Source organism: Homo sapiens, chromosome X (assembly GCF_000001405.40).
Source record: "Homo sapiens chromosome X, GRCh38.p14 Primary Assembly".
NCBI lineage: Eukaryota > Metazoa > Chordata > Mammalia > Primates > Hominidae > Homo > Homo sapiens.
In genome coordinates this window covers 2,417,837-2,438,697 of record NC_000023.11, presented here as the reverse complement: position 1 = coordinate 2,438,697, position 20,861 = coordinate 2,417,837, and the positions used below count along the sequence as shown (strand labels likewise).

At 45.5% G+C, this 20,861-nt stretch overlaps 1 protein-coding gene across 1 annotated transcript in view; it reads left to right on the top strand.

The window, feature by feature from the left end:
* DHRSX (dehydrogenase/reductase X-linked) overlaps positions 1-20,861 on the top strand; it is a 281,471-nt gene that overhangs the window by 62,279 nt on the left and 198,331 nt on the right. Inside the window, exon 2 of the mRNA NM_145177.3 lies at positions 13,394-13,501. Within this exon, the coding sequence (NP_660160.2) occupies positions 13,394-13,501 (108 nt within the window). The remainder of the gene's footprint in view (positions 1-13,393; positions 13,502-20,861) is intronic.

The following is a 20,861-nucleotide window of genomic DNA, read 5'->3' as shown; positions in this document are numbered from 1 at the left end:
ATGAACGACCATTTTTTTTTTTTTTATTTTGAGATGGAGTCTTGCTCTGTCCCCCAGGCTGGAGTGCAGTGGCGTGATCTCGGCTCACCGCAATGTCCGCCTCCTGGGTTCAAGCGATTCTCCTGCCTCACCCTCCTGAGGCAGGATTACAGGCGCCAGCCATCTCGCCCGGCTAATTTTTTAATTTTTAGTAGAGATGGGGTTTCACCATGTTAGTCAGGCTGGTCTCAAACTTCTGACCTCAGGTGATCAGCCCACCTTAGCCTCCCAAAGTGCTGGGATTACAGGCGTGAAGCCACTGCACGTGGCCGGTTTGCAGTCTTTATTGATGCTTTGCTGTCAATCTTACTTTAAGATGAATGCATATATATGTGTGTGTGTGTGTGTGTGTATGCATTCTGTAATGTGTAACTATATGAAGCTCCAGCTGCTCTCTCCCTCCCTCTCCTCTGCAGTCCAATACTCCTAGATCATTCTGTTCCTAAAATGAATGACCATTCAGGTTTTTTTTTTTTTTTTCTGAGATGGAGTCTCGCTCTGTCACCCAGGCTAGAGTGCAGTGGCATGATCTCGGCTCACTGCAATGCCCACCTCCCGGGTTCAAGCGATTCTCCTGCCTCGGCCTCCCAAAGTGCTGGGATTACAGGCATGAGCCACCGCGCCCGGCCAGAATTCAGTTTTTTTTTTTTCCCCATGGTTATCCAATAGCACACAGGCTCGTGAAGCCTTCAAGGTGCTTCATCTGAGGTTCGCTTAGAATGGTTGCCACATATTGTTCTGCCGGTGAGTTTTCATGAATTGGACTCTGAAGGTTCTTAATTATGGTGGTTGAGTGACACGGTCTTTCTTCTATAAGAACCTAAGTTACACTGCATATCAGGAAAATGTGTTCCTGGGACCAGCTTTGTTGGGTTTTTGGCTGCTGGTCATCTTCACTTTACTCTCCCAAATTTGAGGACTGTGACACACACACACACACACACACACACACACACACACTCTCTCTCTCTCTCTCTCTCTCTCTCTGTCTCTCTTAGGAAACAATGGTATATCAACAATGAAATGATGCTTTTTTTTCTTCTTCTTTTTTTTTTGAGACAGGGTCTTGCTCTGTCACCTAGGCTGGAGTGCACTGATATGAACATGGCTCACTGCAGCCTTGCTCTCCCAGGCTCAAGCAATCCTCCCACCTCAGCCTCCTGAGTAGCTGGGACCACATGGGCACACCATCACACCTGGATAATTTTTGTATTTTTAGTAGAGACGGGGTTTCACTATGTTGGTCAGGCTGGTCTTGAACTTCTGACCTAGTGATTTTTCTACCTCGGCCTCCCAAAGTGCTGGGATTACAGACATGAGCCACCAGACTCGGCTGAGCATCTTTTCAATATGACCTTGTGTCCGGGCATGGTGGCTCACACCTGTAATCCCAGCACTTTGGGAGGCTGAGGTGGGCGGATCACGAGGTCAGGAGATCGAGACCATCCTGGCTAACACGGTGAAACTCCATCTCTACTAAAGATGCAAAAAAAATTAGTCAGGTGTGGTGGCGGGCACCTGTAATCCCAGCTACTCGGGAGGCTGAGGCAAGAGAATGGCATGAACCCAGGAGGCAGAGCTTGCAGTGAGCCGAGATTGCACCACTGCACTCCAGCCTGGGCAACAGAGCGAGACTCGGTCTCAAAAAAAGAGAAAGGATTCAAGGCAGTGTATACCAAACATGAAAGTAAAGTTCAGGAACCTCTTTGATGGAGGAGATGACGGTGGGGTCTGTAGCCTGTTCATGCCTATAATTGCAACACGTCGGGAGGCCAAGGTGGGAGGATCACTTGAGGCCAGGAGTTTGAGATCAGCTCGGCCAACATAGTGAGACCCCATCTCTACAAAAATAAAAATAAATTAGTGGGGCATGGTGGCACACACCTGTAGTTCCAGCTACTTGGGGGACTGAGGCAGGAGGATCACTTGAAAACAGGAGTTTGAGATCAGCCTGAACAATGGAGCAAGACCCTGTCTCTACAAAAGATTAAAAAAAAAACTGGCAGATGTGCTGGCACGTGCCTGTAGTCCCAGCTGCCTAGGAGGCTGAGGCAGGAGGATTGCTTAAGTCTGGGAGTTTGAGGCTGCAGTGAGCTGTGTTTTCACCACTGCACTCCAGCCGGGGTGACAGAGCAAGACCCTATCAGTAGTAGTAGTAGTAATAATAATAATAATAATAATAATAATAATAATAATATGTTGCTGCAAAAGTAATTGCTGCTTTTGCCATTAACTTTTGCACCAACCTCATGATAAAACAACAAAAACTCAACACCTGTACCTGCCATGCCCTGAAGCTCATGACAGTAGACAAAACTCACTGTGTCTCCAGCCCTCAGTGTTAGATGAAGGGACCAGGGTGTGGGAAGATCAGCAGTTCAAACGGGAATCATAAAACACATAGTTTTTATTTTTTTAGTTTTGTTTTATTATTTATTTATTTATTTTTGTTGTTATTATTTTTCTGAGATGGAGTCTCCCTCTGTCACCCAGGCTGGAGTGCAGTGGTGTGATCTCGGCTCACTGCTACCTCTGCCTCCCGGGTTCAAGTGATTCTCCTGCCTCAGCTTCCCGAGTAGCTGGGATTACAGGTGCGTGCTACCATGCCCGGCTAATTTTTGTACTTTTAGTACAGACGGGGTTTCACCATGTTGATTGGGCTGGTCTCAAACTCCTGACCTCGTGATCCGCCTGCCTCGGCCTCCCAAAGTGCTGGGATTACAGGCGTGAGCCACTGCGCCCAGCCCCCATGAAACATATAGATATTTTCAAAACAACTGTACTAGGATCAAGAAGGATAGGACTTTTGTTTTTCCTGTTTTTTAAGAATGAAATATCATATGGCGTAAGCATAGATTTATTTATTTACTTACTTATCTATTCATTTATTTTTAGAGACAGGATCTTGCTCTGTTGCCCAGGCTGGAGTGCAGTAATGCAATCATAGCTCACTGCAGCCTTCAAGTCCTGGGCTCAAACAATCCTCCCATCTCAGCCTCCCACGTACCTGGGACTACACATGCAAGCCACCATGCCTGGCTAAGTTTTAAATTTCTTTGTAGAGATGGGGTCTTGCTATGTTGCCCAAGCTGATCTCAAACTCCTGGCCTCAAGTGATTGTCTCACCCTGACCTCCTAAAGTGTTGGGATTACAGGTGTGACCCACTGCTTCCTGCCTAGACTTTTTTTTTTTTTTTCCAATTAAGGTTTTTACTTTGAGATCATTGTAGATTTATAAGCAGTTGTAAGAAATAATAGGAAAGAATCTTGTGTCTACTTCCCCCAGTGGTAACATCTTGGAAAGCAATAATACCATGTCACAAGGAGGATATTCACATTCAGGCAATAATGCATTGATCTTATGTTTTACTCGTATCCGTGTGGGTTTTTGTACCGAGTTCTGTGCAATTTCATAGTGCGTGCAGGTTTGTGAAGCCAGCATTGTCCGCAACACACAGAGCATTTCTTTCACCAACAACCCCTCCTGTTTCTCTCTCTGCATCCTACCTCAACCTCCTCTCCCGTCCTGAACCCCTGAGAATTACTAGTCTGTTCTCTATTTCTGTACCAACCTGCATCCTACCTCAACCTCCTCTCCTGTCCTGAACCCCTGAGAATTACTAGTCTGTTCTCTATTTCTGTACCTTTTCTCATGTCAAGAATGTCATATAAATGGAGTCATACAGAGTGTAACCCCTTTCAAATCACGTGTGTCTTTTTTTCCTTCACTCAATAGAATTCCCTGGAGAGCCATCCAAGTTGTTGCTAAGAACAATAAGATGTTTCTTTTTAAGTAACACCTGCAAAAAGTCTTTTATAAAATGGCGATGAAACTAAATGGTTTTTGATTCTAAACAAGGCAGCCATGAATGGTTTTCTCGTATATCTTAGCATATGTGTGGGAGTGTATCTGTGCAAGTAATTCTTGGAAGTGGAATAGCTGAGCCAAAAAGAAAATGCATGTAAATTTTCTTTTCTTTATTTTAAAGAGACAGCGTCTTGCTCTGTCACCCAGGCTGGAGTGCAGTGGTGCAATCATAGCTTGCCGCAGCCTCGACCTCCTGGGCTCCAGTGATCCTCCCATTTCAGCCTCCAGGGTAGCTGGGACTACAGGCGAGCATCACCACGTCTGGCTAATTTATTTTTATTTTTGTAGAGGTAGGGTCTTGCTATGTTGCCCAGGCTGGGCCTCGTGCTCCTAGCCTCCGCTGATCCTCCCACCTTGGCCTCTCAAAGTGTTGGGATTACAGGCATAAGCTACCAGGCCTGGCTGCCTGTCACCTTTCAGGAGTCATTGTCAACTTATCTCCTAAGAAAATGCAGTCTTGGTGGGTACATTTGAACTGAGTATGTAAACTTCTAACTTCTCCAAGGCATACGCATTCTGGATAACAACCCTACTTTTTAACCTATTCCATGTGATTGATGAAAGCTCACAATTGCTTTATTCATTATTTCATTGTCAGCGAGACTGAACTTTGTTTCATATGCTTATGTTTTATTTCATATCTCCAAATTGCATATTCATTTCCTTTACCCATTTGTGGAGGGACTGGGGTTTGGTTAGAAGAGCTCTTTATAGACCGGGCGCGGTGGCTCACGCCTGTAATCCCAGCACTTTGGGAGGCCGAGGCGGGCGGATCACGAGATCAGGAGATCGAGACCATCCTGGCTAACACAGTGAAACCCTGTCTCTACTAAAAATACAAAAACAAAATTAGCCGGGCGTGGTGGCGGGCGCCTGTAGTCCCAGCTACTCGGGAGGCTGAGGTGAGAGAACGGCGTGAACCCGGGAGGTGGAGCTTGCATTGAGCTGATATTGCGCCACTGCATTCCAGCCTGGGCGACAGAGCGAGACTCCATCTCAAAAAAGAAAAGGTTAGAAAAATACACCATGGAATACTACGCAGCCATAAAAAGGATGAGTTCATGTCCTTTGCAGGGACATGGATGAAGCTGGAAGGCATCATTCTCAGCCTAATAACGCAGGAACAGAAAACCAAACACCACATGTTCTCACTTACAAGTAGGAGCTGAACAGTGAGAACACAGGGACGCAGGGAGGGGGACATCACACACCAGAACCTGCTGGGGGCTGGGGAACAAGGAGAGGGAGCGCATTAGGACAAATACCTAATGCATGCAGGGCTTAAAAGCTAGATGATGGGTTGATGGGTGCAGCAAACCACCGTGGCACATGTATACCTATGTAACAAACCTGCGCGTTCTACACATGTATCCCAGAACTTTAAAAAAAAAAGAAATAGTATTTCAATATGGTCTGAATTAGGATGTCTGTTATTAGATATAAAGGAGAACATATGTGTTGAGGGCCATTTGAGCCTGTTCTGTATATAAACTCTTATTTTTGCCCTTTTCTTTGTAGCATGTTTGGGGTTTTTCTGGAGTTGAACTTTTTAGATATCTGAAAAATAGCTGTTAATATTTCTGATGGAAGTTGCAAATTTTCTTCCAGCTCATTATTTATTTTTTACTTTGCTTATGGAGATTTGTTTTGTTTTTTACCATGTGATTTTTTTTTTGAGATAGTGTCTTGTTCCTCCTGGAGTGCAGTGGCACGATCTTGGCTCACTGCAACCTCCATCCCTTGGGCTCAAGTGATCCTCCCATCTCAGCCTCCCAGCTTGCTGGAACTACAGGCACGCACCGCCACACCCGGTTAATTTTTTAAATTTTTTGTAGAGATGAGGCCTCTCTCTGTTTCCCAGGCTGGTCCTGAGCTTTTGGCCTCAAGCGATACCCCCACCTCAGCCCTCAAAGTGCTGGGATTACAGGCATGAGCCACTGCCCGGCCTGTTTTTTAAACAAGTAGTTTTTTAAATAGTGAAATCTATCTAACCATCTTTCTGAATTTTCGTTTAGGAAGCATTTTCTTTCTGTGGAGGTTAAACTAATGATTCCTGCTTTCTTGCAATCTTCTCATGGTTTAACTTTGTTTTTGCCTTGGAGTTCACTCATGCATGCTATGAGGTCTGGCACTAATTTTATCTGTTTCCTAATGTGGCTTCACGTGCCCCAACACGGTTTATTAAAACGCCCATCTTTTGCCCCTTTTGTCGTGTACTCAATTTCCACATGCAGTTGGCCTATTTTTGGAAATTGTACCCTGTTCCTTCCTCCATTAATGCCTGTAGTACCTCCCGTTTAATTATAGAAGCTTCTCAAATGTTTTAATCTCCTACAGGGCCATTGTGTTCTCAATCTTTGTACATATCAGAATTTTCCTCTTTGCCGCCTCATTTGGAATTCTTTTCCCCACAGCAATTTTCGAATCGATTCGTCCAGTTTGCCTAAAAGAAATTCTGTGAACTATCTTTATTGGATCACATCAAATTTGCATATTGACTTGGGTCATTCTGACACCTTTAGGATTGTATCAGTTTAGATTTTTTTTCCCCCTCCAACTTCTATTTTATTTTTTAAATTAAAAAAAATTTTTTTTTTGAGACGGAGTCTGGCTCTGTCGCCCTGGCTGGAGTGCACTGGCGTGATCTCAGCTCACTGCAAGCTCCACCTCCCGGGTTCAAGCGATCCTCCTGCCTCAGCCTCCCGAGTCGCTGGGATTACAGGTGGCACACACCACCACGCCCAGCTAAATTTTGTATTTTTAGTAGAGATGCGGTTTCACCATGTTGGCCAGGCTGGTCTTGAACTCCTGACCTCGTGATCCACCCGTCTCGGCCTCCCAAAGTGCTGGGATGACAGGTGTGAGCCACCGCATCTGGCCTCAACTTCTATTTTAGGTTCGGGGGTACATGTGCAGGTTTGTTCCCTGGGTATATTGTGTGATGTTGAGGTTTGGAGCACAAGGATCCCGTCACCCAGGTAGTCAGCACAGCACTCAATAGTTTTCCAACCCTTGCCCCATCCCTTCCTTGCCCCATTGAATTGCTCAGTGTTTATTGTTCCCATCTTTATGTCCATCTGTACTTGATGTTTACCTCCCAGTAAGAAGTGAGAACGTCTGATATTTAGTTTCCTGGTTCTGTGTTAATTCACATAGGAGAATGGCCTCCTCTTGCATCTATATTGCTGCAAAGGACATGATTTCATTCTTTTTAATGGGTGCATAGTATTCCATGGTATAGATGCACCATGTCTTCCTAAGAATTGAATTAACATTTGAGCCAGCAATCCCATTACTGGGTATCTACCCAAGGGAAAGTAAGTCATTCTACCAAAAAGACACACGTACTGTGTGTTCATCGCAGCACTATTCATAAAAGCAAAGACATGGAATCAAACTTAGGTGTCTGTCAACTCCGGATTGGACAAAGTTTGGGGGTTTTTTTTGTCTTTTTTTTTTTTTTTGTGAGATGGAGTCTAGCTCTGTCGCCCAGGCTGGAGTGCAGTGGCACAATCTCGGCTCACTGCAAGCTCTACCTCCCAGGTTCACGCCATTCTCCTGCCTCAGCCTTCCGAGTAGCTGGGACTACAGGCGCCCGCCACCACGCCAGGCTAATTTTTTGTATTTTTAGTAGAGACCGGGTTTCACCGTGTTAGCCAGGATGGTGTCGATCTCCTGACCTCGTGATCCACCCGCCTCGGCCTCCCAAAGTGCTGGGATTACAGGCATGAGCCACCGTGCCCGGCCGTCTTTTTTTTGTTTTGTTTTGAGACAGTCTTGCTCTGTCACCCAGGCTGGAGTGCAGTGGTATGATCGGAGCTCACTACAGCCTCAACCTCCCAGTCTTGCGTGATCCTCTGAACTCAGCCTCCCGGGTAGCTGAGATGACAGCCGTGTGCCACCATGCCTGGCTAATTTTTTTGTACCTTTTTTTTTGTTTTGTAGCAATGGGGCTTCACTATGTTGCCCAGGCTGGTCTTGAACTCCTGGGCTCAAGCGATCTGCCTGCCTTGGCTTCCCAAAGTGCTGGGATTACAGGCATGAGCCACTGCGCCTGACCCATTTGGGTCTTTGGAGAAGCACACACCAAGAAGGAACATGATGGGCCAGAGATTTACTAGGGGAACTGTGTGTGAAGGGTCAAACAGGCGCTGGCAGAAGAGTGGAGGAAGGCTTGCAGGTGATGGTGTAGGTGCCTCACACCTGTGAAGAAAGAGACGGCGAGGAATTGGGTAGAAGGAGCGTCCAGCCAGTTCTCTGGTCATGCCGAGTCATTGGCTGTGAAAACCCAAAACCCTGAGGAAGCCCGATCTTGCGAAACATGTTCCCCATCTGCAGAGGCACCGGGTGGCTGGTGTCAGGCGATTGTTGCAACCTGTTGTGTGCGGGGGTGTCTGTGTGGGTACATACATACTTCTCAGCCCCAATGCCAGCTTCCTGGTCCGTAAGGAAAACACTAAACTCTTCTAGCTAAAGTTACAAATGCAGCAAGGGTCCATTCTGCAATCTGTGATGCTTTTTTTTTTTTTTTTGAGCTGGGGTCTCGCTACCTTGCCCAGGCTGCGGTGCAGTGGCACAATCACGGCTCACTGTGCGTTTTCAGGGAAGACCCCACGGGCACCTCCAAAACCATGTGGCATGACATCCTCACCGAGACCCGAGGGCATCTTTCCATGGCCTCAACTCTACTTTTATGTCTTTAGGTTTCCTGATATAGGTTTTGCACACTCTCGATGACCAAGTCTCATTTCAGTGTTGCTGTTGTTTCTATATTATAAGCAGGACTGTCTCTTCCCCTACCTTTTTAACCTGCCAATTGTTTGTGTATGTATGGAAGCTATTGATATTTGCTTCTGAGTTTTCTATCTGACTACCTTCCTGAATTCTCTTCTTGGATTTATTTAATGTTGATTTTGTTAGTTTTTTCCTGGCATACCATCATATCATCTGCAAAGTATATTTTGACTCTCCCTCTGCCGTTCTTGTGTCTGTTGTAATTATTTGTCTGACCATGTTGGATAAGATCTCCAGTAGCATGTTAAATGACAGGGTGCACTCCTGGAATCCAGCTCTTTGGGAGGCCGGGGTGGGAGGATGACTTGAGCCCCGGAGATCAAGACCGGTCTGGGCAACACAGCAAGACCCCATCTTTACAAAAAAAAAATAGTAAAAAAAATTAGCCAAGTGTGGTGGCTCACACCTGTAGTCCCAGCTACTTGGGAGGCTGAGGCAGGAGGATCATTTGAGTCCAGGAGGTCGAGGCTTCAGCGAGCCATGATTGCACCACTGCACTGCAGCCTGGGCAATGTAGTAAGACCCCAGCTCAAAAAAAAAAAAAAGCATCACAGAGAACAGGATGGATACTTGCTGCTTTTCCAAGTTTAGCTGGAAGATTTTAGAGATTTCTTTATTGACTAGGAAGTTGGCATTGGGGCTGAGAAATATGTATGTACACACACAGACACACCCACACACAGACACACATGTATACATACACAGTATATATGCATACTGTGTGTCTGTAATTACAATTTAATAATACATTCCTATTTTTAAAATAAACTTAGTAAATTAAGAACATCAATACATCTACTGATACTACATATAGTATTTGCAAGTCCCTCAGCTTGGGTCAGGAACACGGGAATGTCATTGTACAGGTTCTATCTTCAGGTTACGAGGGATACACCAGAAAACCTAAGCATATGGAAAACTTATTCGGCAATTTTCTAAGTGAACATACCTTTTCATCGATTCATGCGTGTATCAAGAAAAACAAAATGAAAGTCTTACACACCAAGAGGATTGTTCGCACAATACTGACAACGAAATGTACGGGCTGACAAATAACAGATTATATGTTGAAGCCTCCTCCACAGGCCCCACCTCCTGATACCATCACCCTGGCGATTGTATGTTCTCAACATAGGAATTATTTTGGGGGGAGAGGAGACACAACATTTTATACTTGGAAAGGTGAAATGGAAAAGCAGCATAGGCTTTATTGTTTTATTTTATTTTATTATACTTTAAGTTCTGGGGTACATGTGCAGAACGTGCAGGTTTGTTACATAGGTATACACGTGCCATGGTGGTTTGCTGCACCCATCAACCCATCATCTACATTAGGTGTTTGTCCTAATGCTCTCCCTCCCCTAGTCCCTCACCTCCTGACAGGCCCTGGTGTGTGATGTTCCCCTCCCTGTTTCCATGTGTTCTCATTGTTCAACTCCCACTTGTGAGTGAGAACATGTGGTGTTTGGTTTTCTGTTCTTGTGTTAGTTCGCTGAGAAGGATGGTTTCCAGCTTCATCCATGTCCCTGCAAAGGACATGAACCCATCCTTTTTTATGGCTGCATAGTATTCCATGGTGTCCATGTGCCACATTTTCTTTATTCAGTCTATCGTTGATGGGCATTTGGGTTGGTTCCAAGTCTTTACTATTGTGAACAGTGCTGCAATAAACATACGTGTGTGTGTCGTTATAGTGGAATGATTTATAAACCTATTTCTATTTAAATTACCTTTGTATTTTTATAGATTTTGTGGGTATGAGTACACTTGTGTTACATGAATATATTGCATAGTGGTAATGTTTGGGCTGTTAGTGAGGCCATCACTCAAATAACGTACATGGTAGCCAATAGGTAATTTCTCATCCCTCATCCCATCCCACCCTGTGAGACTTCTGAGTCCTCGATGTCTATTTTTTATGCTCTATGTCGACGTGTACACATTATTTAATTCCCGCTTATAAGGGATAACATGTGGTACTTGACTTTCTGTTTCTGAGCCATTTCACTTAGGATAATGGCCTCCAGTTCCCTTCGTGTTGCTGCAAAAGACACAACATCATTCCTTTTCATGGCTGTGTAGTATTCCATGGTATATATGTGCCATATTTTAAAAAATCAAATTGTCTGATGGTGGACACTTAGGCTTTATATTTTAATAAAGAACATTCCAAATATGTTGAACAAAATAATCTCCTAACTTGAAAAAGATCATATGTGCCTATAATAATTCACAGAAAGGGACTTTCCTGACTACCTGCCTGCAAAATCCACTTTTCCCTCAGTCTTTCTTTCTCAAGGGAATTCATGGAAATTCCCTCCTTGAATTTTCTCAGCCCCCAGTACAAGGAGTCATTCTTGCCTCATCATGTCCCCCTCTCTGTCCTTGTCTTGTGATTTCTTTTTATTTTGAACGCGAGAAGTCTGACTCCCACCAGCACCCCTGTGGCCAGTACCTGTGAGACATATTCTGAATCCAGCACCTCTCATACCACCTGTGCTGAACTGTGGCGGAGCTCCCCCGTCAGTCCCTGCAGCTGCTTCAGGAGACCCTTGATAGCCTTGTCTTCCTCCAGCTCAAGTGGATTCTCCATGAATCTATTCCTTCCTGTGAAACATATCACAGATTGGCTCAGAGCCCCGTGATGACGCCCTGTCTGCCAGAGAGAAGCTCACGAACTCTGGGGTGCCCCTACTCCTTCTTCCCTCCTCTCTTCCCTCCTTCCATGTGCTTGGCTCCAGCTAGCCAGCCAGCCGCCTTCCTCTTCCTGGAATATCCCAGGCCTGCTAGACTTTTGCTCTCACCGTCACAACATCAGCTCAGGAGCCCCTCCTTGGAAGATTGTTCTCTAACCCTCCGTCCAGAATCACTGCTTCTCCCTTTCCTCTTCTTCCTTTGAAGTTCATTCATAACTGGAAGATGTGAGATCTGGAAAGTTCTGCATTATTGCCAGACACATCTGTGTATTTAGAGTGGTTGGTATCTTTCCCAGGGGAACCAAATGTCCTTGAGGCAGACAACATGTTTATCTTTGTCTAATTCATTTCCCTGTATGCTGGGCACAGAGTGTGGGCTCTACACATATTTTATAAAAGAAGGAGGGAAGGGTTAGAAGATGGACAGAAGGAAGGAGGAAGAAAGGAAGGAAAGAGGGAGGAAAGAAAGGAAAGAGGGAGGGAAGGAAAGAGGGAAAGAAGGAAGGAAAGAGTGAGAGAAGGAAGTAAAGAGGAAAGGAAGGGAAGGGAAGGAAGGAAGGAAAAAGTGAGAGAAAGAAGTGAAGAGGAAAGGATGGAAGGAGAAAGGAAGGAAAGGGAGGGAAGGAAAAAGGAAAAGAAGAAAGAAGGAGTGAGACAAGGAAGTAAAGAAGAAAGGAGGGAAAGAGGAAAGGAAAGAAGGAAAGAGGGAGGGAAGGAAGGAATGAAGAAAAGAAAGAGGGAAGGAAGGAAGGAAAGAAGGAAGGAGGAAGGAAGGAAAAAGGGAGGGAAGGAAGGAATGAAGAAAGGAAAGAGGGAGGGAAGGAAGGAAGGAGGGAGGGAAGGAAAGAGGGAGGGAAGGAAAGAATGAAGGAAGGAAGGAATGAAGGAAGAAAGGAAAAAGAGAAGGAAGGAGGAAGGAAGGAAAGAGGGAAGGAAGGAAGGAAAGATGGAGAGAAGGAAGGGAGGACAAGTGGAAGGAAGAAAAAGAAATACAAATCTCCCTCAAAATGTGGATCACTCGTCTTAACCAGAAATTCAAGTGAGATGCTATCTGCACGTGTGATACCAGCAGCTATGAAGCAAACTGTATTAACCAAGTCTTTTATTTTCTGTGTTCTGATGCATGACTTTCATGGCCTTGTCAACCCTAGAGACCCTGCCCCTCCCATAGCTAGCGAATCCCCAGAGGTGGTGAAGAGCCCACCTATGAACCTGTCTTTCATATGCAAACCCATCAATCCAGAATCCACCCCCCAGCCATCTCCTTTATTGGGGTTGCATATTCCACGTCACTCTCCACCTGCCCTAACCACCCCAAAGCCAGGTACCAGAGAGTCAGGGACAGCCCCTATGCCCCAGAGCCTGCTGAAATCATTCACACTAGCCAACTGTAAGCCTACTCGCCTGTTCCTTCCCTTGGAAACCACAGTGAGAGCTCTGGTCTCCTTTGTCTTCCCACCTGACCAAACTTGGTGCGCCCCTGTGTGGTCCTGAGTGGTGTCAACACGCCCCTCCTCTTGGGACCTGTGAGTAACAAACCACTTGCTTAACGGCAGTCTCCTGATCTGTTGGCCCCACCATACCTACATCATAATAAAGTCTACATTTTACAACGCAAACGAACAAAAATGTCCTGCTCAGTGCTGCCCTGAGAGCAGAGGTTATTCCAGGATTCTTGCTCGCCTCTGTAAAGGGTATCCGTTCTGCAGACCTTTCTGCCGGTCACACTGACGGCATATTGCAGAGCCTGCCAGGGACTCACAGGGGATGACAGGGGATTTATCAGGTGGTTTTTTACTGCACTGTCATTACTGGGGGCGAATCCACTTTAATACATTCATGCCTCCTGAGCCTGTGGGAATTCAAGAGGAACAGAACCAGAAATAAATGAACCATAACTCCCTTTGGCATCTTGCCTCTCTGGAGGCTTAATTCTTACAAATATGTGCTCTGCTTTCAAATCTTAGTTTGATGATTTTCTCTTCTTCTTTTTCAGTTTTCCCCCCACGACCTGACCGTGTCGCTATAGTGACGGGAGGGACAGATGGCATTGGCTATTCTACAGCGAAGCATCTGGCGAGACTTGGCATGCATGTTATCATAGGTGATGACTTTTACAGTTACTTGTGTTTTTTGTTTTTTCGGTTTTTTTTTTTTTCTGAGACAGGATCGCAGTCCGTCAACCCGTGCTGGACTGCAGTGGTGCAATCTTGGCTCACTGCAGCCTCCACCTCCTGGGTTAAAGTGATTCTCCTACCTCAGCCTCCCGAGTAGCTGGGTTTACAGACATGCACCACCACGCCTGGATAATTTTTGTATTTTTAGTAGAGACAGAGTTTCCATATGCTGGCCAGGCTGGTCTTGAACTCCTGAGCTCAAGCCATCCGCCTGCCGTGGCCTCCCAAAGTGCTAGGATTACAGGTGTGAGCCACTGCGCCTGGCAGAGTTAGTTGTGTCTTATACCTAATGTGAGCTACTTAGGTGTCGATTCAGACATGTATGCAAATGTTGATGTGCATATAGAAAATTCAGTCAGATCCAGAAAGCTCATGAAGGTGATATTCACAACCTAGAAAACACAGAAAATTGTTGTACCCTTTTGGAAGTAGATATATATTCTGCTTAAATATTGATCCTGTGTTTCTTTCACATGGTTTACTGGAAAAAAATAACCATATATCTTTATGACTTTACTAGGGCTGTTATAACAAAGTATCTCAAGGAGACTGGAGGTTGCTTAAAAAGCCAAAATTTATTTTTCACAATTCCAGAGGCTGGAAGTTCAATATCACAGTGTAAGTAGGGCTGGTTCCTCCCAATTCCAGAGGCTGGAGGTTCAATATCACAGTGTGAGTAAGGCTGGTTCCTCCCGACACCTCACTCCTTGGCTTGTAGACACCATCTTCTCCCTGTGTCCTCACAGGGTCGTCCCTCTGTGTGTTTTCATCTCCTCTTCTCCTGAGATGTCTTAGTCCATTTCAGGCGCTATAACAGAATTACCATAGAATGGGCAGCTTATATACAACAGACATTGAGTTTCCCACAGTCCTGGAGGCTGGATGTCTGAGATCCAGGTGTGGGCAGGGCTGGTTCCTCCTGAGGCCTCTCTCCTTGGTTTCTCTCTGTGTCCTCACAGGGTCATCCCTCTGTGTGTGTCCGTGTCCTCATATGCTCTCCTTATAAGGACACCAGTTCAATTAGATCGGGGCCCACTCTGGTGACCTCATTTTACCTTAATCACCACTTTAAAGACCTTATTTCCAAACACAGTCACATTCTGAGGCCCTGGGCTTTAGGACTTCAATTTATGAATTTTGTTCAAACACAAGCTCCTAACAGAATCTGAACAATGTTGCGGGATACTTGTTTCTTCTGCAACCATGACCTATAGACACTCACGGTTTGATTTCTGCTCTTCTTTTTGAAAATTTCTCTAAAAGCTTATCGTGATCTCTGACTCCTCTTCCTCTGTGACCTCTTCAGGTCTCCCTTCAACTGGGAATATGAGGACAGTTCAAATTAACCCATTCCACTACTGCCAATGGAGACGGAGTGGGGGGCGGGGAGGAGGGGAGAGAGTCTATTGCATACCTGGGGAAGTCTAAATCAGCTAGCTTAAATGATGTGTGGAGACGAGCTTGGAAAAATAAAAGCCTTAATGTGTATTATGCCCACTCTTGACACTATCTGCATTTAATTAATTATTTTCAGACAGGATCCTACTCTGTCAGCCCAGACTGCAGTGCAGTGACATAATCATAGCTCACTGCAACCTCAAACTCCTGGGCTCCAGCAATCCTCCTGACTCAGCCTCATGAGTCGCTGATATGACAGGCGTGCACCACCATGCCAAGCTCATTTTATTTATTTATTTATTATTGTTTTTTTTGAGACAGAATCTTGCTCTGTCACCCAGGTGGAATGCAGTGACACGACCTCGGCTCACGGCATCCCCTGCCTCCTGGGTTCAAGCGACTCTCCTGCCTCAGCCTCCAGAGTAGCTGGGATTACAGGCGCCCGCCACCATGCCCTGCTAATTTTTGTATTTTTAGTAGAGATGGGGTTTTGCTTTGTTGGCCAGGCTGGTCTTGAACTCCTGACCTCACGTGATCTGCCCACCTCCGCCTCCCAAAGCGCTGGGATTACAGTCATGAACCACCGTGCCTGGCCCTGGCTCATTTAAAAAAGTTATTTTGGCGGCTGGGCGTGGTGGCTTATGCCTGTAATCCCAGCACTTTGGGAGGTCAAGGTGGGCAGATCACTTGAGGTTAAGAGTTCAAGACCAGCCTGGCCAACATGGTGAAGCCCTGACTGTCCTAAAAACACAAAAATTAGCTGGGCTTGGGGGTGAGTGCCTGCGTGGTGGTGGGCGCCTGTAGTCCCAGCTACTCGGGAGGCTGAGGCAGGTGAATTGCTTGAACCTGAGAGGCGGAGGTTGCAGTGAGCTGAGATCACGCCACTGCACTCCAGCCTGGGTGACAGAGCGAGACTCAGTCTCAAAAAAATAAACAAAATGTTTTGGAGATACTGGGTCTTGCTATGTTGCCCAGGCTGGTCTTGAACTCCTGGGTTGAAGTGATCCTCCCACCTTGGCCTCCCAAAGTGCTGGGATTACAAGTGTGAGCCACTAGGCCTGGGCACCCTTTGCTTTTAATAACTTTTATGGTGTCTGCTTTTATAAACATCATACTGTAGGTCTGGTTTGAGATATGCAGGATCGTATTGACTTAACACTTTCCAGGACGGGAGCAGTGGCTCATGCCTGTAATCCCAGCACTTTAGGAAGCCGAGGCGGGCAGATCACGAGGTCAGGAGATCGAGACCATCCTGGCTAACATGGTGAAACCCCGTCTCTACTAAAAATACAAAAAGTAGCTCGGCATGGTGGCGTATGCCTGTAATCCCAGCTGCTCGGGAGGCTGAGGCGGGAGCATCGCTTGAGCCAGGGAGCCGGAGGTTGCAGTGAACCGAGATCGCGCCACTGCACTCCAGCCTGGGTGACAGAGTGAGACTCTGTCTCAAAAAAAGACTTTCCAAAACCAATGCCCATTATTGATTGACTTCTTCCTCTCCGCCATTCTCTGTCCTTCTTTCCCTTGTTGTCATTATGGAAAGATGATCATGGATCATAAACAATGCTTAGGGCTGGAGATTTCAACATGAATTTGTCTCAGTTCTTCCTTATCTTTGAGGAGCTCTGTCCAGGACAGACACTTTTCTGGGCCTTGAATGCCTTTGCGATAGCCCAAAAGGCTCAAGCATAAGAGCATGAGTCTGATCTGGTGACCAGGGCTCAGCAAAGAGTCTTTCCAGGCCTTGAACCTCTGGACATCTGTTGGTGCTCATTGGACAGGCTAAAAGTCATCATGTTACGAATCGATGAAGTTGACATGCAGATAAAAGGTATAAGGAAAAAATGAACTCTCCACATCATTGTATGCATTACATCTATACGATAAAAACTGTGATATACTCATGCGTTTAAATAGCTGCTCTGGTCCTGGGCCTCATGCGTTTCAATAGCTGCTAGCGTTCTGAGCCTCGATGGCCATCCACTTGGCTTTGAGTTAGCTCTCTCCAAAAATCTCCATGGCAGTTTCTGCTGGGGCAAATGCACGGCTGCTGCCCACACCTCTGTGTTTTCTCATCTTCATTTACAAAAGAAGAAAATGCTAACCTTGCTGATGCTAACCTCCTGAATTTCATGCAGGAATCCCCAGGAGTCTTTGACTCAGATGGGGAAACCCCATGTTCAGCCCATGTGGCCTTCTGGTCTCCCTGGAGATGCGTGGTCCATGTCAGCGCACATGGCTCCTTGCTCCGTCCTTCACTTAAGTTTGAGCCTTTTTGGCTTTTGCAAAACATGAATGCAAAACTTGAAATTTTTCTATGTCATGGCTCTTCCCAACTTTCACATTTTTGAGACAGCGTCTCACTCTGTCACCCAGGCTGGAGTGCAATGGCGTGATCTCAGCCCACTACAACCTCTGCCTCCTGGGCTCAAGCGATCCTCCCACCTCAGCCTCCCAAGTAGCTGGGACCACAGGCGTGCACCACCAGGCTTGGATAATTTTTTGTAGTTTTAGTAGAGATGGGGCCTCACCATGTTGCTTGGACTTGTCTCAAACACCTGAGTTCAAGCGATCTGCCTGCCTCGGCTTCCCAAAGTGCTGGGATTACAGGTGTGAGCCACTGTGCCCAGAGTCTTTTAAAATAATAATTTTGTACACGCAGTTCCATTCCTCATATAACCATCTTTCTCTGATGCACTTCAGGGTTTGTAAAATAGTATACAGAGATGTGTACTGTTTCACATGATGAAGCTTAGTTGTATTAGATAATGATAACATCGTGTTTGGCTATGTCATAATGAGGCAATTGAGTAGAATATAATGAAATCTTGTTGGATTAGTTAATGACTTGTTGAGCTTCGGAAGCAGGTGAGCACTTTTTGGTCTATATCAGTCTCTTTCTTTCCATCAAGCAGTTATTTTCCTCAAAGTTGTGCCTAACTCCCACTTGAGCATTTTTTTTATCCATTCTTTTTTTTTTTACTTTGACATGAAGTCTCACTCTGTTGCCCAGGCTGGAGTGCAGTGGCGCGATCTCAGCTCACTTCAACCTCCGCCTCCCGGGTTCAAGCGATTCTGCTGCCTCAGCCTCCTGAGTAGCTGGGACTACAGGAGCACACCACCACACCCAGCTAATTTTTGTATTTTTAGTAGAGACGGGGTTTCACCATGTTGGCCAAGATGGTCTCGATCTCTTGACCTTGTGATCCACCTGCCTCAGCCTCCCAAAATGCTGGTATTACAGGCGTGAGCCACTGTGCCCGGCCCCATTCTCTTTATTTTATTTTATTATTTTATTATTATTATTATTATTATTTTTTGAGATGGAGTTTCGCTGTTATTGCCCAGGCTGGAGTGCAGTGGCGCGATCTCAGCTCACCGCAAACTCTGCCTCCCGGGTTGAAGCGATTCTCCTGCCTCAGCCTCCCAAGTAGCTGGGATTACAGGCGCGTGCCAGCACACCAAGCTAATTTTTTGTATTTTTAGTAGAGGGGGGGTTTCACCATGTAGGTCAGGATGGTCTTGATCTCTTGACCTCGTAATTTGCCTGCCTCGGCCTCCCAAAGTGCTGGGATTACAGGCGTGAGCCACTGCGCCCGGCCTCATTCTCTTAATAGACTGGGACAAGTTAAAACTTTATGACAATTTCTTGAAATTGTCAAGTTCATCCATGTCCCTAACTCTCCTGTCTTGGTGTGTTTGGGCTGCTGTAGCCTGAGTGCCTTGCAAACCATAGAAACTTTTTTTTTAAAATTTTATTATTATACTTTAAGTTTTAGGGTACATGTGCACAACGTGCAGGTTTGTTACATATGTATACATGTGCCATGCTGGTGTGCTGCACCTATTAACTCGTCATTTAGCATTAGGTATATCTCCTAATGCTATCCCTCCCCCCTCCCCCCACCCCACAACAGTCCCCGGTGTGTGATGTTCCCCTTCCTGTGTCCATGTGTTCTCATTGTTCAGTTCCCACCTATGAGTGAGAACATGCGGTGTTTGGTTTTTTGTCCTTGCGATAGTTTGCTGAGAATGATGGTTTCCAGCTTCATCCATGTCCCTACGAAGGACATGAACTCATCATTTTTGATGGCTGCATAGTATTCTGTGGTGTATATGTGCCACATTTTCTTAATCCAGTCTATCGTTGTTGGACATTTAGGTTGGTTCCAAGTCTTTGCTATTGTGAATAGTGCTGCTATAAACATACGTGTGCGTGTGTCTTTATAGCAGCATGATTTATAATCCTTTGGGTATATACCCAGTAATGGGATGGCTGGGTCAAATGGTATTTCTAGTTCTAGATCCCTGAGGAATCGCCACACTGACTTCCACAATAAACCATAGAAACTTATTGTCCTACAGTTCTCAAGGCTGGAAGTCCCAAGACCAGGGGGTCAGTGTGGTCAGATTCTGGTGTAGTCTGTCTTCTAGGTTGTGGATGGCCACTTTCTCCTGTGTCCTCACATGGTGGAACCTGGATGGGGTCTCTTTTATAAGGGTACTAATTCCATTCATTGTGCTCCACCCTCGTGACCTAATCATCCCGCAAAGCCTCCGCCTCCCAACAGAATCACTGGGGATGTTAGAATTTCAACATAGGAACTTTGGAGGGATACAAACATTCAGTTTATTGCGCCCCCTCTAGATGCAAAAGGATTGGGTTTAGATGAGGAGACCCCAGGGGAGAGGGTGCCCATCTGAGAGTGTATTTCTAGAACTTCTTATGAACTTGAGCACCTCCATGATCTGTTTACATCTCCCTGGGACCTGAGTAAATTAGAGACAAGATGTAGGGCAGGGGGGGTTCTGAGATTTAGCTTGGAGACTGTGAGGTGGTGATGGATGGCAACCCTTGGTTTTGACCATCCATGCTAGGTGGATATCTGCTGTATCATTAACAACATGACAAACTTTCCAGGACTTTCTATATCTCAGACTTCTGCCAATATTTGAGATGACTGGGTCAAAATGATGCTGATTTTTTGAACAGGGAGAGCAATAGGTATTCTCTGAAGGTTGGCTGGATGTGAGCCTAGTGGCTTCAATGATGGTGGAGTAGGATGAAGAGAGACCCTCAAGGTTGAACAAAGATGGGAGGGCTCACATCCATTACTGGTTATATTTGATCTTTTGTCTCCTCCAGTGCAATGATCTTTTTCATCTTCTTAATTCTTAATTTAGCTAGGCAATGTTTAATTATTAGTTTAATTCTTAATCAAACTAGGAAAGGAAGAAAACACCCCATTTCTTTGTGCTTTTTTGCCTCATTGTGGTGGTTTAGGTCATGATGAGGTCTAGTTGGGCAGGTCATGATGAAGTCTAGTTGTATTAGGTTCTGATGATGTCTGGTTGAGTTAGATCATGCTGAGGTACAGTTTGGTTTGGTCATGATGAAGTCTAGTTGTATTAGATCATGATAACGTCTCCTTTGGTTATGTCATGATGAAGTAGTTGAGTAGAATGTAATGAAGTCTTGTTCGATTAGATCATGATGACTGGTTGAGTTAGGTCATTATGAGGTATGGTTTGATTAGGTCTTAATGAAGTCTAGTTCAGTAACAGCATGATGAGATCTAGTTGGATTAGACTTGATGATGTGTGACTTATTTAGGTGATGATGAAATCTTGTTGGGCTAGGTCACTTTGAGATCTAATTGGGTAGGTCATGATGAGGTCTTGTTGAGTTAGGTCCTGATGAAATGTAGTTGAGTTAGGTCACATTGAGGTCTAGTTGGGTAGGCCATGATGAGGTCTATTTGTATTAAGTCATGATGAGGTTTGGTTGTATTAGATCATGGTAAGGTACAGTTTGGTTAGGTCATGATGAAGTCTAGTTGTATTAGTTCATCATAATGTTTAGTTTGGCTATGTCATGATGAGGTAGTTGAG